General features: G+C 40.3%; 1 protein-coding gene across 8 annotated transcripts in view; it reads left to right on the top strand.

The window, feature by feature from the left end:
- Positions 1-16,903, top strand: part of PRELID2 (PRELI domain containing 2) — a 606,358-nt gene that overhangs the window by 127,393 nt on the left and 462,062 nt on the right. For 2 of the 8 annotated variants that reach the window (XM_047416829.1, XM_017009128.2), the window contains one exon: positions 3,655-4,029. The exons of the other annotated variants lie outside the window; for them this stretch is intronic. In XM_047416829.1, the coding sequence (XP_047272785.1) occupies positions 3,655-3,723 (69 nt within the window). In that variant the 3' untranslated portion in view covers positions 3,724-4,029. Of the gene's footprint in view, positions 1-3,654; positions 4,030-16,903 lie in introns of those variants that run through there. 8 annotated transcript variants of the gene reach the window in all.

Genomic DNA, 16,903 nt, shown 5'->3' with positions numbered 1-16,903 from the left:
GCTTTGAACAAGGCAAGATTGTGTGGGGTGGGGGCTGAGGTCACGCAGCATGCTGGGTGTCTCCCAGGCTCTCTCTCCTTCTTGTCTGTGGCAGCCTTTTGCATGCTCTCCTTGTGGTTTTGGGTATACAGTACTTCATAATTTGAATAGGGACAACACAATGTAAACAATCCCAGGAACTTCCAAATCAGGAAGATTTGGATTTGACTTGATCTGAGTAATTTTTTTGGTCTGTCTTTATTTTGAAAAGATCCAATATTTCTCAGTGTTCGTTCAGAGCCTTTTATTTCTCCTCAGCTGGTAGTGGACTTGGTAGTTGCCCTGAGACTAATTTCTATTTCCAGTTGAATCAGAGAGGAGAAAATTGTCAATTCTAAAGGCCACCATTTCAGTACCTTATGGATAAGCTTCTTAAGGAAACTAAACATACTAACTTAGCGGAGATTTTTTAAAAAGTCTCATTCCTGGTGGACACACTTAAGGATCCTATACCTTATTCTCTATTGTGGTTTATTATAAGCTTGGAGCTCATAATACAGAAATTACCTTCTTTCCGACATTACTGGCGCACTCAGATTCCAAAGGTCAGCTGAGCCTTTTGCAGGTTGGCCACTTGGCCCTTCAACTTCCTTCAGTCCTGACACAAAATCAAGAGGGAGAGTGCAGTCACGATCATTGGGGTCACATCCTGACTCTGCCACTCACTGCAACTTGCTTGCTATGGGTCCTGGGCAAATTATTTAGCTTCCCTGAGCCTCAGCTTCTTCACCAATATATTAATAAAATGAGTATAAAATCAGAGTCATTGTGGAGATTAAAAGAAAAATAATCGTATCACAGTGGCACAGTGCCTCACCCACAGATGCTTAATAAATTTTTTCACGTCCTCATTTCCTTTGAATCTGAAGGACACTCGAGTGACTTAAGGATTGTGTCAAATGCAGATTCAGAATGAGCAGGCCTGAGGATGAGGCCTGAGACACTGCATTTCCAACTGGCTTCCAAGTGTTAACTTGCATGCAAGGTCCTAGGAAAGGATGTTTAGTCACTGTGAAGTCCAGGCATGTGATTGAATCTCGGCTTTGCCAGCTGCCAGGTGGATGATCTTCATTAAGACACTGAGTCTTTCTGAGCCTCATTTCTTAACTGGGGTTATTTATGTTTCATAGGTAACATGAAGACTTAAAATGAGACAACATTTTAATGGTGCCACAAGTATAACACTGTTATTATTATTTTATTTTATATTTCAGTCATATTAGACTGAACAATGCTGACACTGAGATAGTGAACTGCAGCTATTGGCAGAGTGAGCAAATCTTTTGAACATCACCTAGCGTAGTGCCTAGTGCACAGGAGGTGACCCATAGACATTGAATTGTATTTCCCCTATGAAGTTCATATGGGTGGAGGCTAGATGAAGACCGGGCAGAGCTGCTCCATAGAAATATTCAGGCCGTGGTTAGAGTTTGAGTGGGCGCTCCCTTGAACTCCCTTCTATAAAGGAAAACCAACTATCCATTGATCAACTGGGTCCTAAAAAAAGGAGTTACGCTCATCAATTTTTGTTTCTTTCTTTCTGGAAAACACTGTGGTTCTTATTATAACTTCTGGAATTAGATGCTGAGTTTCTTCATAAGGTGGTTCTGTGATGATACAGACAGTATTCCTGCTTTGTGCCAGTGGCATAGTTGTGGCTTCCAGTGCGACCCGGAGCTAGCTTAGCTTGCAGGAAGAATGCTAGAGTTCCAGGGGACCTTGGTGGAGTTGTGCACTCCAACTTTGCCCTTTTCCTGCCTCCTTCTTTGTCTTTCATCTACACTTTATGACTTAACCTTTTTTTTCCCATTTAATTAAAAATAATTCCATAAGTAATATATGCCTATGCTACAAAAACAAGAAAATAAGTATCCCTGAAATCCACTACCTTAAGATAAACTTTTTTTCTTTCTAACATTTTGAATCAAATTTGTGGGGAGTGTGTGTGTGTGTGTGTGTGTGTGTGTGTGTAGGCGCACATGTGTGCATGGGTGGTGTATGGCCCACAGCTAAGATTGGATTTTATACTTCATATTTTTTTGATGGTGAGAAAAAAATCACAAGAAGGATATTATTTGGTGACATGTAAAATTTATATGAAATTCACATTTCAATGTTCATAAATAAAATATTATTGGAACACAAGCACATCTATTTTGTTTTCGCATATTATCTATAGCTGCTTCCTCAAAACAACAGTAAAATGGATTAGTTGTGACAGGTATCATATGGCCTACAAAACCTAAAATATTTACTATCTGATTCTTTACCGAAAGTATTTGTTGACCCCGGTATAAACAATTTCTATTTTGGTAGCCTAACTATTTGGTTATTGATAAACATCTTTCTATGTCAATAAATATCATCTCCAAAATCATCTTTCTTAGTCTTTCATTAAAAATGGTACTTTTAGCTGGGCAGGTGGCTCATGCCTGTAATCCCAGCACTTTTGGAGGCGAGGCGGGCAAATCACTAGGTCAGGAGTTCACGACCAGCCTGGCCAATATGGTCAAACCCCGTCTCTACTAAAAATACAAAAAAAACCCACAAAAATTAGCTGGGCATAGTAGCAGGTGCCTGTAATCCCAGCTATTTGGGAGACTGAGGCAGAAGAATTGCTTGAACCCAGGTGGTGGAGGTTGCAGTGAGCTGAGATTGCACCATTGCACTCTAGCCTGGGTGACAGAGCAAGACTCCATCTCAAAAAAAAAAAAAGGTACTTTTTGGGTTCAGATCTGTTGTTTTTTTATCAGTTGTTAGAGTGCTTTCCATTTGTAAAGCATCGTTATTTTATTTAATTCTCAGACCCTCCGAGTGAGTTAGACATTATATGTTCATAAATACTCTTAGCTTGCAAGTAACGGAAACCACCTTGGGTGTCTTAAACAAGAAAATGGAATTGAGAAAGACTGACTTTAAAAATAGGGGATTTGCCCTGCAACCCCTGGGCTCAGCTGGGCTTCTGAAAGGGCCTGGAAAGCAGTCATGACTCTCAGCTCCTTCCTGTGTGTGCTTTTTAATCTCTTTGCACAGCTCATCTGCCTCTCCCTGTCAGTACAAGTGCATCTGGCTGCTAACAGCCCAATTCTCTGTTTTACTGGTCCCACCACTCTGAAGGAGACTATATTCCCTTTCGGGCCCAATTCTAAATTTTATCTAGGAGAGAAACATAGGTGGCCCAACTTTCTCAAGATTTCACTCCTGGTCCAGTCAACTGCAGCCGTTGTCAAAAATGGCTCCTGCGGAAAACTATTTACAAAGTGGCTCCTCTATACACTGGGGGACATTAAGAGGAACAGTTGTGGGTTAGGCAGATATTTCAAAAGTTTTCTATTTCATTATATTGTTTCCTATTTTACAGAGGAAGAAATTAAACCTTAGTAACACCAAGTGATTCTCAAGTAGTACTTTGTCAAATATGAGTATGCAGACTCCAGATTTCAAGTGTGTTTTGAGTACACCAGACTGTTGCTCATGGATTGCTGTGGACTTGGGAAGTCACCCCAGTAACACCATATTTGGGCTGCAGATCGTGTTTTGCTCATTTCTCATCTCATTGCTTGGTATATCATTGGAAGTTGGGAATTTCCTCTGTGTCTTTTACATTGTTTCCAGGTTGCAGCTGGAAGCTGGATGGACAGATGCAAATTTTGGAATTTTCTCCTGGTTGACTGCTGTGCTTAGAGTTTTGATCCATCAGTGGAGGGAAATTGAGTGAAAATGATCCACATGCCAATCTGGGCTGGCATCTCATCGCTTAGCCCAGCGTTTGTCTCACATCTTGTGTGTAATGCCAGCAACTAAATCTCCAAGCTCGATTAGCAATGGTTACAGCCCAGTGAGCTCACATCCAGAAACCCCCTTGAAATGATGTTTCATCAGGGAGAACTTTAACCACAAAACCTGCTTCTGAACCAACTGAGGAAGACACCTCAGGTACTGTGACTCTAATTCTGGGGCAGTTGTTGAATAAAATATGCCATGACTTTATGGATTTATTTTCTCTCTAAGTTGCATGAGTAAAATGAGTCTTGTGATTTTGTAAAACGTAGCTGTGAAAGAGACCTGAAAATTTGAGACTTGCTGGGAAGAGTTCTTTATGCACTCAGGTGTGGAGGACAGGTGCAGGGGAAATTTGTTGTGTGATGCTCCAGTACCCATTCCTGTCTTCTCCCTTTCTCCCTCTAACTATATCTTGAACATCTCTCTTTTCTATATGATTTTGGTGTGGAGTTGATCTGTCACAAAGTTCAAGGATTAGACTGTAATGGACCTAAGCCAATTTATATCTTCTTTCCCTAGCTGCAGTTATTAGTTTGGGTTTAGTCAAATGTCCCATTTCAAGACAATGAAAGGGATCCCAAGACCTGGCTATGTGCTGTTGGAACTGACATTTTCTTTTCCCTGGAGCATTTAGGGTTAGCATGTGTGGCTTGAAACTGGGGCAGCTATTTGGTTGTCATAAGAGTAAAGCTGAAGCTACTGTGTGTATTTGGGGCATGTCTACCACATGGAATCTGATGATGGAACAATCCCTATGGAAGGGAGAGCTAAGAGACAGAAGGAAGATGAGACATCAAGGGTATTTGGTAATAATGTCTAAACTGCTGAATCAACGAAGTTCACTTAAAGCCCACTCTGACTCTGGATCAATTGCTTAAGGCATTTCAGCTGAGTTTTAAACACTTTGCATAAAAATTCCTATCTGATACAATTAATATTACTAACTCTCTGCTCTGAATAGATTGTGTTTGCTTGGTAATTTGTCTGGCTTCTTCCAAAGACTTAGTATACTTGACACTTGATGGCCAATGGGTGCTGCACAGACCAGTAAATGGTGAATCTAGCTTCCAACTTGGACCCAGCTTTCTGTTTGCATGTCTAGTGTGCATTTTTGTTAGGGTTGAGAGTTGAGTAATTGCTTTATTTGATAGTATTTGCTGTGTTTTAATAGAAAGGGAAATAATTATATATCAATCTGCTAAATGACTTTCTTTCCTCCTTAAGATCTACCTTTAACATTTTTTTCTAGTGATTGTGGAACTCAAGCCCACATAGAAGTGGTATCTTCTCTGACTTTTGGCTGCTGAAGTTTTATTAGGGGTGCCCTGGTAGGTAGGGAGTCTTGATTAGTCTGTATCACTTAAGATAATTCCTTTCCCTATGTGCTTCTTGGTTTAGAAGCAGCCAAATTTTTGTGACCTCATTTTGGCCAATTGACACAAAACATGAATTGGAAGTCTGCTGGGCATGGGGGTGCTTCAGGCAAGTTTCTTAACTAGTTAGAGAACAGAAGACCCGAATGTCATTGAATTGCTTTACCTCTTGCCTTCTTGTGTGAGATTTTAAGCTAGCTGTCAGAGTTTTTTTCTTTCTTTCTTAATTTATGTCAAAGAAAGCATCCTGATGCATTTTGCAAGGACCACATGAAGTAGGGAATTGTTGATTTCCCCAAGGAGGGATCCAAGAGCCAAAATAAGAAAAAAGAAACAGAGAAAAGAAAAACACATTTAACCCATCTACTATAGTTCCTTTACTTTTATCTTGATGTCCTATTTCTCTGTGCATGATTCTACCTTCAGACACAGATGAGACAAGGAGTGGTCTGTGTGATGACTAGATTTGAAGGGCTGTTTTGTGCAAAGTAGTGGTGCTTGAACACCATACTCAGATGATCATAAATTTGCTAGCTCACTCTCATACATACTTATGAAAATATCCTTTTTATAAGTGTTTATAGGGATGGCATTAAAAATACTTAAGCATTACAGTAATACGCTAATGTATAAATCAATATATTAATAAAAACATTAAATATATATATATGTGTGTGTGTGTATATATATATTTTTTTTTTTCCTGAGACAGAGTTTTGCTCATTGCCCAGACTGGAGTGCAATGGCATGATCTCAGCTCACCACAACCTCCACCTCCCAGGTTTAAGCATTTCTCCTGTCTTGGCCTCCCGAGTACCTGGGATTACAGGCATGTGCCACCACGCCCGGCTAATTTTGTATTTTTAGTAGAGACAGGGTTTCACCACATTGGTCAGGCTGGTCTTGAACTCCTGACCTCAGGTGATCTGCCCACCTTGGCCTCCCAAAGTGCTGGGATTACAGGGGTGAGCCACTGCGCCCGGCCTTCAATGTATATTTTATAATTCTCTAATCTAAATTATTAAACTGCTTACCAAGTGATACAAGCTGAAATGCACATAGTTCATTAAAAAGATAATGATTTACAGGTCATTTATTGATTTTTAGAAATTGTTGCTGTGATTTGTTGATGGCATAGTTGTCAAATGCTAAGTGACACCTTGTGGTTTGACACAGGGAATTACATCAAACTCCTCCACCAACCTCTTTGCTCATTTGTTGGTCGATAGTCATTAGGAGACTTGCATTCTCAAAAAATAGAGAATTTCTTTTTAAAATCAATACTATTGTTCAGGGTCCTGAGGCCTTTTTCAGCTTCTGCTGAACTAAGCAATTACATTAATTTTTTTCTAGATTTTATAATGTTGTCTAAAATTTTTATATGGTCAAATTCTCTCTTATCAACTATGCCATGAAAATCATTTACTGGAATGTCATTTTTAATTAAGTTGAAAGTATACTTTGGGTCAAATGAGAGGCAGTGCAGTCGGTGTGAAGGTTAAGCATGCTTCCTCTGTTGCCAAGGTGCCTGGGTTTGGATTCAGACTCTGTCACCTACATTTTAAATAATCTCTTTGTTCCTCAGTTTCTTAGTCTGTGAAATGGGGAGAATCACAGTAATTATAGGACTCTCAAAAAGTACTCTTCTCTCTTGGAATTGCCATCCATGGAGTTGAAGCCTTCGGCCACTGGCCTGAGCCTGCAGTGGCACCTAATATCTCCTGACTTGACCATCTGCTGTCCTCATCTTTCTCTGGTCCTCTCAGAGCCTGGCTCCCAGTGGCTGTAATTTCCACAAGTGGTCACACAGAGATAATTCTATGGCATGCTGGCCTGAGATGGGCAGCCATAGTCTCTGTGGTCCGTATGGCCATGGAGGGGCTTGCTCACCTGGGTGTTAGATGCACTGCCAAAGGTATTCCCCATACTGCTTTTGCCACATTAGGACACACTGTGGCAGGTGGAACCGATATTGGTATTTGTGAGCTACAGTGAGTTGGATGCTCCCATATAGTCTGGTAGTGTTCACTCAGGGATCCCCAGGGCCGAGACGAATACATAGAGGGAGCGTGGCTGGTCCTTGGGGACCCCTGGGAGAACCTGTGGTGGGCAGCAAGGACAGATACTTTTGGGTACTTTGACTGTCTTGGGCATCTACCAATAAGAAATGATACCAGCTGTGGGTCCTAGAGGTCCCAGATGTGCCAGTTATTAACCCTTTTGTTGCTAGATTATGGAGAGATTCTGGTGATATTGGCAGTGGCTATTTATGAAAACTACAGATAATATTTAATATTTTTATAAATGCTTCTACCTTGCTGGTGAAAACCAGCAGCATATCAATCTTCCATGTTGAGAGTGGTGGGGGGGAAAGGGATTTAGGAAAGTAAGTTGATATTTTTTTGAGTACATGGATTTGGTAAACTGAGATTCACATACATCACTGAAGTTGCCCGAGGTCATGTAGTTCATGTGTTGAGGATTGGGGATTTGAATCTAGGTCTGTGGGTCCTAAAATCATTACAGGTTGATGTCTAGGGGCGATGGAAAGTTGGGGGGGATGCTGTTGATGACCAGAAAAACCACTGGGTTCTGATGACACTTTGAGAATATAGTCTAAATGTCTGTTAGGCTTGCAGAGGTTACATCACTCCACTCCAACCATTTTTCCTCACCTATTAAGAGGGAATTAAGTGACCACAGAGAGATATGTGACTGTGCTTATCCATGTCTGTGGTTGCTCTAAAAGGAAAATTGTTTTTCAGTTGGGAAATTTCAGGAAGTTGCAGAACTTATATTCAGCTTTCTGAACTTGGTGTTACATCCCCAGGAAGTTAGTGACCCCTTTGGGACCAGGAAACCAAAAGAAGCGAGAAACACCAAACACCAGGGTCTGTTTTTGGAATCCCCAAGAATACAAAGGATTGATGGTGATGTTTTCTTTCCAGAAAAGAAATTTGTGCGGCAGCTGTGCTATTAAGGGTAGGGTAAGTGGGTTGCTGGAGAGCTGGAGAGTCTGGGGCCACGCTTAGTTTAAATGACAGCTTTTGACATTTCTTCTCTTTGGATTTGGAAATCTTAAAGCAAAATCATATGGCTCTGAAATCAGTTTCTTTTAAAAATACCCCAGTGTCACACAAACTGAAATGGGAAGAAGGCTGTGGTGCAAGGGTTTTCCTATTTCATCAATGTCAATGAGCAGGGAAGAGATGCAAATCATGGGTCAGTGGAAAGCTCTGGCCCCTGGAGTCAGCCTAGGTATGACCCTCAGATTTGTCATTTACCTGGCAAATGGATGACTCTGCAGTTCTCCTACCCTTAGTTTGCCCATTTGTAAATTGGGATGTGTGTGCGTGTGTGATGTGTGTGTGTACAGAAGTGTAATAATAATACTAATATCCAACTTGCAAATGTTAGGTATTATACACTGGTCCCAGTTTTCCCAAATCCTCAGCGTTCTGACATGTGAACATTGCAGCAAGGCTCCTCTTCCTCAAATAATTCACATAGCTTTGCCCTGCTCCATCTCTGGGTCCCATCTCAGATGTCTCTTACCCCAGGAAGCATTCCCAGTCTTCCAAAAGGAACTAGGTACGCTGTTACTATCTTTCTTAGAACTCTATTCTTCACACATTCTGCTGGTATGGACCGAATGTTTGTGTTTCTCCCAAGATTCTTATGTTGAATTGCTAAACCCCAAGGTGATGACGGTATAAAGAGGTGAGGCTGGCCAGGTGCGGTGGCTCACGCCTGTAATCCCAGCACTTTGGGAGGCTGAGGCGGGTGGATCACCTGAGGTCAGGAGTTCGAGACCAGCCTGGCCAACATGGCGAAACCTCGTCTCTACTAAAACTAAAAAAATTAGCCGGGCATGGTGGCGCATGCCTGTAATCCCAGCTACTTGGAAGGCTGAGGCAGGAGAATTGTTTGAACCCAGGAGGCAGAGGTTACAGTGAGCTGAGATCACACCATTGAACTCCAGCCTGGGTGACAAGAGTGAAACTCCATCTCAACAAACAAACAAACAAACAAACAACAAACAGGTGGGGCCTTTGGGAGGTGATTAGATCATTAGAATGAAACTCCTTTGAATGGGATACATGCCATCATTAAAGAACGCTCAGACAGCTGCATTGCCCCTTCTACCAGGTGAGGACACAGCGAAACGGCACTGTTCTATGAGCCAGGAAGTGGGCCCTTAACAGACATAAATTGGCTGGCACCTTGATCTTGGACTTCCCAGCCTCCAGCACTGTGAGAAATAAGATTCTGTTGCTTGTTAGCCACCCAGTCATCTCTAGTACTTGTTATAGCAGCCCAAACTGACTAAGACAATTTTGTAATGATATATTTAGTTACTTGTGTTTATTTGAGTTCTCTCTTCTCCTGTAGACTATAAGCTCCAAGATAATAGGGACATAGCTGTTCTTAAATCTCATTTAAAAGTTAAAATATCATTGGTGATGAATGTATACTACAGGTAAGGCAATTGGTACCTGACAAATAACCATTCTGTAAACAATAGCATTGCCTGATATATAGTAGGTCCTCAGTCAGAATTTTCCGAATGAATAAATATATGAGGTTTTATGAATTGGAATTGAAATCTAAACTTTCTATAGCTTTATAATAGAAATTCATATTTTGGAGCTTGCAAAGAGGACTGAATGATATTTTTAGTTAATAATAATACCAAAGAGCTTGCATTTATGTTTTGAATTGCCTTGCAAACCGTAACTTCATGTATATATATATATATATTTTTTTTGAGGGACATTAGGACAATCACAGTTCTCATATGTAAGCTTTGAAGTAAGTAGGCTGCAAATTTTTAGTGATTTTATTTTGGAGTGTCAGATAACAGGCAGCTGAAATCGAAACAGCTTCAAATGTCACAAAATGTCTTCTTGTAATTCTCAAGCATTAAATGCTTTAAACCTTAAAGGCACAGTCTCCATTTCCCAACTGACCATAGATTTAAACTGTGTAAGGAGACACAACCACACCCAAGAGACTTTTCTTATCGAAATGGACTGCATTTATGACAATTTCCCCCAAATCTTCAAGTTAGTTTCTCAGATAAGATGATGATAAAGAGTAGAGGGTCAGGAAACTTTTTCTGTAATGAAGCAGAAAGTAAATATTTTAGGCTTTGCAGGCCATAGAGTCTCTGTTGTCACTACTGACCTCTACTCTGCTAGCATAAAAGCAGCATAAACATGGCGTAGAGAAATGCTGTTGGCTTGTGGCAACTGAACTTTATTTATAAAAGCAGGCAGCAGAGAGAATTGGCCCATAGGTGGTTAGTTTGCTGACCCCTGCTGGTACACATAGGCTTTGGAGCCAGACATATATGGGTTCAAATCCAAGCTGTAAGACCTTCAGCAAGTTTCTTAGCCTCGTTGAGTTTGCTCACCTGTGAATGCACTGACTCCCAGGGTTGCTGTGAGATTAAATGAGGAGAAGCATGAATAGCACTCCAGGCAAGACTTGCACACAGGGATGCCTGTATCTATGTCTCTATCTATCTACATATATCACACATATGTATACCATACCAGTCAAATATATGTCTTATATTATTGATCAGGTATTTATTTATATTGTATGTGTGCCTATGTGTGTGTATATATATATGTCAGGTATATATACATATATATATGTGTGTGTGTGTATATATATATATATATATATATATATATATATATATATATATATATAATTTTCCTCTCTTTCCTACATCCACTTTGTTGCTTGATCAGTACCCCCTGCCTCTATCATTTGCTTACTCTGATTTATTCTTCCTGTCTTGGCTTCTTCCAGCCTTTATTACCAAAAGTGGTCTGAATATATACTATTTTTTAGTACATACTGTATGCATTCTATTTTTGAAATTAAAGAATTAATTCTTTTATTGATGAGTCTTGGAGTTCTCAACAAATTGCTGGGAATGTTAAGAACTGTAATGATTTTTTCAAATATTTTAGAGATGGCTGGGTGTGGTGGTTCACACCTGTAATCCCAGCACTTTGGGAGGCCGAGGTGGGCAGATCACTTGAGCTCAAGAGTTCCAAACCAGCCTGGGCGACATGGTGCAACTCCGTCTCTACAAAAAATACAAAAAAATTAGCCAGGTGTGGTGGCATGCACCTGTGGTCCCAGCTACTCAAGAGGCTGAGGTGGAAAGATCACTTGAGACTGGGAGATCGAGGGTTCAGTAAGCAGAGATCACTGCACTACAGCCTCGGTGACAGAGTGAGACCCTATCTCAAAAAGATATTTTAGAGATAAGGAAGTAATTCTGGAATGTTTAGGTAGGTCAAAGACATATTGGTGAATAAATTAATGAATGAACGAACGAATGAAAGGTGTCTCTGAGGTATATGTGCTTGGAAGGGACCATAATTCCTGAATCTTGGAATTATGAAATTTTCACCATTAGATGTGTGATATTTTTGTGTCAAGCAGTGCCTGTCTCAGGAGCCCTCTTAAAGAGGTGAAATACTTTGAGAAGGGAGAGGCACAGAAGTGGCTGCTAAACTGGCAAATGGCTATTTTATGAGCAACACTGGTAAAAAAAAAAAAAAAAAAAAAAAAAGCTATTATTTATTGCTCACTATGTGCCAGAAACTATACTAAGCCATATATACATGATTTTCAAGTTTTAGATATATATAGAGTTATATTTATATATGCATATTTAGAAAGAGTTATATCGAGATACACATATGCACACATACATATAAGCTTGAAGATTAAACTTTCACATATGTTAACATAGTTAATTAGCTAGCCAGGGTTAGCTAAAATGGACCCCAGTGATTCTCCCCCCTCTGATATTTATGCTTTTGTGTGGTCCCCTCCCATATTATATCAGAGTCAGTCTATGTGATCAGTTGACTATGGTAGAAGTGGTGATATGTTACTCCTGAGGCTACGTTATAAAACACATTGCAGCTTCCTCCTTGCTCACTCTGGGTCATTCATTCTGGGGAGAAGCCAGCTGCCATGTTGTGAGGGTCCTGTGGAAGGGCCCACCTAAGCAGGGACAGAGACTTTGTGCCCCCAGCTGTGTAAACGAGCCATTTTGCAAGCAGATGCCCAAGACCCCGTGAAGCCTTCAGATCATTGCAGCCTACCTGCAAGCTTCACTGCAATTCCACAAGAGACTCTGAGCCAGGACCTGAATTCTCCTGGGCAAGGGTGATGTCATGGGACAACTCAAGGAAGAAGAGCAGGTTGGAGGTGGCACTGGAAATTGACCAAGACCACATTTCTCTTCTAAAAAAGTGATATAGTCTGATTTTGTGCATTAGCTGGCTTCTCTCTACCTTATTCTCCCTTCCCTACCAATTGCTTCCTAGTCCACTAGCCTCTAGTCATTCAGGCCTCCTTCAGGGCTTTGAATGCACCAAGCTCTTTTCTGCCTCAGGGCTTTTGCGCACGTTCTTTGCTGTACTTAAGCAGCTCTTCTTCTGCCTCTTGACGTGACTGACTTATTCTCATCTTTCAGGTCTTGGCATTCATGTCACCTCTACAGAGAGAGCATCTCCAACTGCTCTAAAGGGGTAGCTCCCCTCCCTGTACCTGTTTGTTTCCTTCAACATGCTTAGGATAATCTGTAATTATTTATATCTTTTTCTTTACTTGTTAGTGATGTTTGACCATAAGATTTTATACTTTGCAAAGTAAGGCATGACCCATGACTTTTTGGGACACTACTGAATCCGTAGTAACCAGCCGAGGACCTGACATGTTCTAAGTGTCCAATAACTATGTGGGGGGTGATGGAATACTTGTATTTGTGTTTCTCAAAGGGCTTTTCATCAGTTCTGGCGTTAGTGAATACTCACTGAGGCTTAGCATGACTACCCTTTAAACATTGTAGCTGGCTCTTCTCTGTTCCCCTTTGTCCCTCTGCCCAATTCCTGCCACTCTTTCCTTTTTTTTTTTTCCTTTGGATGCAATTATTGTCTTCTAGTATGTTACATAATATGAAAGCGTGATTTTTGTGCATTCTATTCACACAGTAGTCACTAAAAATATTTGTGAAGTGAACAAACGAATGACATTTCTGAATGTCATATAGGAAAGTTGAATCCATGAAATAAATTATTAAAAAACAAAACAAAACAACAGTCAAAAACTACAGTCATACCTTACTTCATACCGTGGACTTCAAATTCTTCAAATACAATAAATTTGTACTTAATTTCCAGCAAAGTCTGAAGCTGTACATTATATTTTATTGTAATACATTATACATCTTTTTAAACATGGTGTTTTATTAATAACATATTTTAAAAGCAAAAGCACATAAGAAAAATAAATTTCATTAACAATTATCAACATTAAAATATTTTAAAAATCATGCATCTTTATTTTAGAAAAGTGAAAAATAAACATAAAGACTGCCCCCTCCCCCAAATTACCCTTAATCCCATTGAGACAATCTTGGCTAATATTTTGAGGCATATACTTCCAAGATATTTTTCTTATGTACAATATGTTCATACACTGTGTTTAAAAACAGAAATATACTGTAAATGTTAACAAGAACCAAAGTTTTGTTGCACTTACTATGTTTCGGGTACTAAGTACTTTATTTGTGTGTATTTATTTATATTGATTTAATTCTCACAACAAATTTATGCTCTAGGTCCTAGTATTTGCCCTCATTTTACAGAGGAGGAAACAGAGGCACTAGAAGATTAACTACCTTGCCTGATGTCATACAGCTAGTGAGTGATAGGACTGGGATTTGAACCAAGGCAGTGTGGCTTGAGAATCCATGCTCATAATCATGATTTTTGCTGCCTCAAAATATTGCTTGTGATTTGCTCCCTCCCTATCACTATATCAAGACCATCTTCCCAACTGTTATATATTCTTCTCCAACATCATTTGTAAAGTCTATAGAGTGTTTCAGTACATAGATACTCTAATTTTTCAATTTTTATAATTTTAATTTAAGTTTTTTGGAGATAGAGTCTCACTCTTTCAACTGGGCTGGAGTGAAGTGGTATGATCAGAGCTCTCTCCAGCCCCAAACTCTTGGGCTCAAGCCATTCTCTCACCTCAGCCTCCTGAGTAGCTAGGACTGCAGGTGCACACCACCATGGCCTGGCTAATTTTTAAAATTTTTTATTTTGGAGACAGGATCTTGCTATGTTGTCCAGGCTGGTTTCAAATTCCTGGCCTCAAGTGGTCCTTTAGCTTTGACCTCCCAAAATGTTGGGATTATAGGTATGAGCCACTGCACCTGGCTAATTTGTCTATTTTTTTTTTAATTTTAAGAATTATTTCTGGTTGGGTGCAGTGGCTCATGCTTGCAATCCCAGCACTTTGGGAGGCCGAGGCAGGTGGATTGCTTGAGCTCAGGAGTTTGAGACCAGCCTGGGCAACATGGTGAAACCCCATCTCTACCAAGCATACAAAAATTAACTGGGTGTCGTGGCATACATCTGTGGTCTCAGCTACTTGGGAGGCTGAGATGGAAGGATCACTTAAGCCCAGGAGGCAGAGGTTGCAGTGAGCTGAGATCACACCACTGGATTCTAGACTGGGCAAAAGAGCCAGACCCTGTCTCAAAAAAAAAAAAAAAGATTTATTTATTTATTTTTCCCTAGGAACAAAGTTCAACAAAAGTAGGTAATTTAAGGAATTTATGAGGAACAATTTTTAAAAGTGCATAATTTTTTAGTTCTGTACAGCTGTAGTTTGAGGCAGTACCTTCATGAATTTCTTTAGGTGACGTACACCTGTATTTTCTCTTCTTATTTTCAAATGGTTGCTTCTGCTAGAAATCCACTTGGTAACCATGTATGAGTGAAAATGTGTTCCTAAACTGAGGCATTTTGACTGTGGGAAGAGCTATAAATAATGATGGAAAATTCAGGATAAAAATTCAGGCAAAAACTGAGCAAGTAAAATAAAGCAAATCTGTATACTTAACATTAAAGAAACTGGAGTGCACTTGAAGCCAAACAAAGATCTTGCTTTATGAAGACACAGAGCTAATTAATCTATGTCAAATTGTTTTTTAAATACTTGTCTTTTGGTATAATTCAAGTTCACTCTTGCAGGAATTAATCACTCCTTTGCCATTTGTAATTGTCGACCTGACAGGCATTTACTTTGATTTTTTTTGTAGTATAAAAAGTGTTTATGGTGCAAAATTAACATTGTTAGACAAAATGTCACCTTTTGGGTGAAAACACTGAGCATTTTTACCTCTTGGTGTCAACTCAGACTCTTCTGATTGATGCATGGAGCTATTCCTGGAGAAAGGCTCCAGCTGGTCAAGTATTCCCTTTGCTAATATTCAGAAACACACAGCAGGGTTACACATGAGGCCTAGGGGGTATGTGTGTGTTTGTGTGTGTGTGTGTACCTCCATGTACACATAAGCTTGTAGAATTGGCTGGACAAAAATACATATAAACCTTTCCTGTCCCATCGACTGCAACTCTCAAAAACATTCAAGTACGATCAGTTTAAAATCTATTTACCAATCAACTCAATAAGCATTAATTGAGCATACTATGTGCTCAGCACTGTTATAAATGCCGGCATAGAAAGATGAATGAGAACCTCAAGGAGTGTGTGGCATTGTGAAAATATGAGCCAGGTAAATGAGTATTTGAAATCATGAGATAGTGTCACAGATAACGATAAGAGCAGGTAACAGCATCAGCTGCAATCAGGGAGGGAGGGGATTCAAGCAAGCATCATAGAGGAGGACTCGCTTGTGATAGGTCTTGAAGGATGCATTCATCAGGTGGCCAGGGTGGTATTCCAGACAAAAGAAGAAGGTGGTCAAAGGCACAGAGGCATGAAACAGCATGGAGTATTCAGGGTATTCAGTAGGGTGTTCTGTGCTGCTGGAGACAGGATCCTGAGGTGCTAGAGAAGTAGCCCTTCTTCTGGTCAATCTTGGGCTCCATGAAGGAACAACTGAGGCCAACCACTGGCTGTCTTTTGATTAAGATTTTTGGACTCTGTGAAAACCCAGGAGTCTTAGGTAATTTTTTTTTTGAGATGGAGTCTCACTCTGTCGCCCAGGCTGGAGTGCAGTGGCGTAATCTCGGCTTACTGCAAGCTTCGCCTCCCAGGTTTAAGCAATTCTCCTGCCTCAGCCTCCCGAGTAGCTGGGACTACAGGCACGTGCCACCACACCTGGAATTTTTGTTTGTTTGTTTGTTTGTATTTTTAGTAGAGACCGGGTTTCACTGTGTTACCCAGGATGGTCTCGATCTCCTGACCTCGTGATCCCCCTGCCTCGGCCTCCCAACTTGCTGGGATTACAGGTGTGAGCCACCACGCCCGGCCGAGTCTTAGATAATTACTGAAGCTGTGTGGGATTCTACGGTTAGGCTTGATTGATTCATTTGTGGCTAGCCTTGGCTCTACTTCTCATTCCTTTAAGTGTATATATTCCCAGCAAGACCACCAGCAACTGTGCTTGGTCCTATGTTAGCTGCTATGCATAGTTTCCACTTTCTAGTTGGTAGTAAATATTTGTTGGCTGAAACGTTGTTGAATGGTTATAAAAATGAGAGCTTCCAGGAACCTCCTGTCTTTTTGGGGAGTTGAGCTAAAAACATGTAAAGAACTCACAGTGCAAGATTTAAGTAACAGTTATAGGCAAAAGAGAGTTGACAAGATTATTATAAACAATTTCCAAAATAGGTGTCACAATTTACACC

The sequence above is a fragment of the Homo sapiens genome, chromosome 5 (genome assembly GCF_000001405.40).
Source record: "Homo sapiens chromosome 5, GRCh38.p14 Primary Assembly".
Lineage (NCBI taxonomy): Eukaryota > Metazoa > Chordata > Mammalia > Primates > Hominidae > Homo > Homo sapiens.
This window is presented reverse-complemented; position numbering and strand designations above follow the sequence as displayed.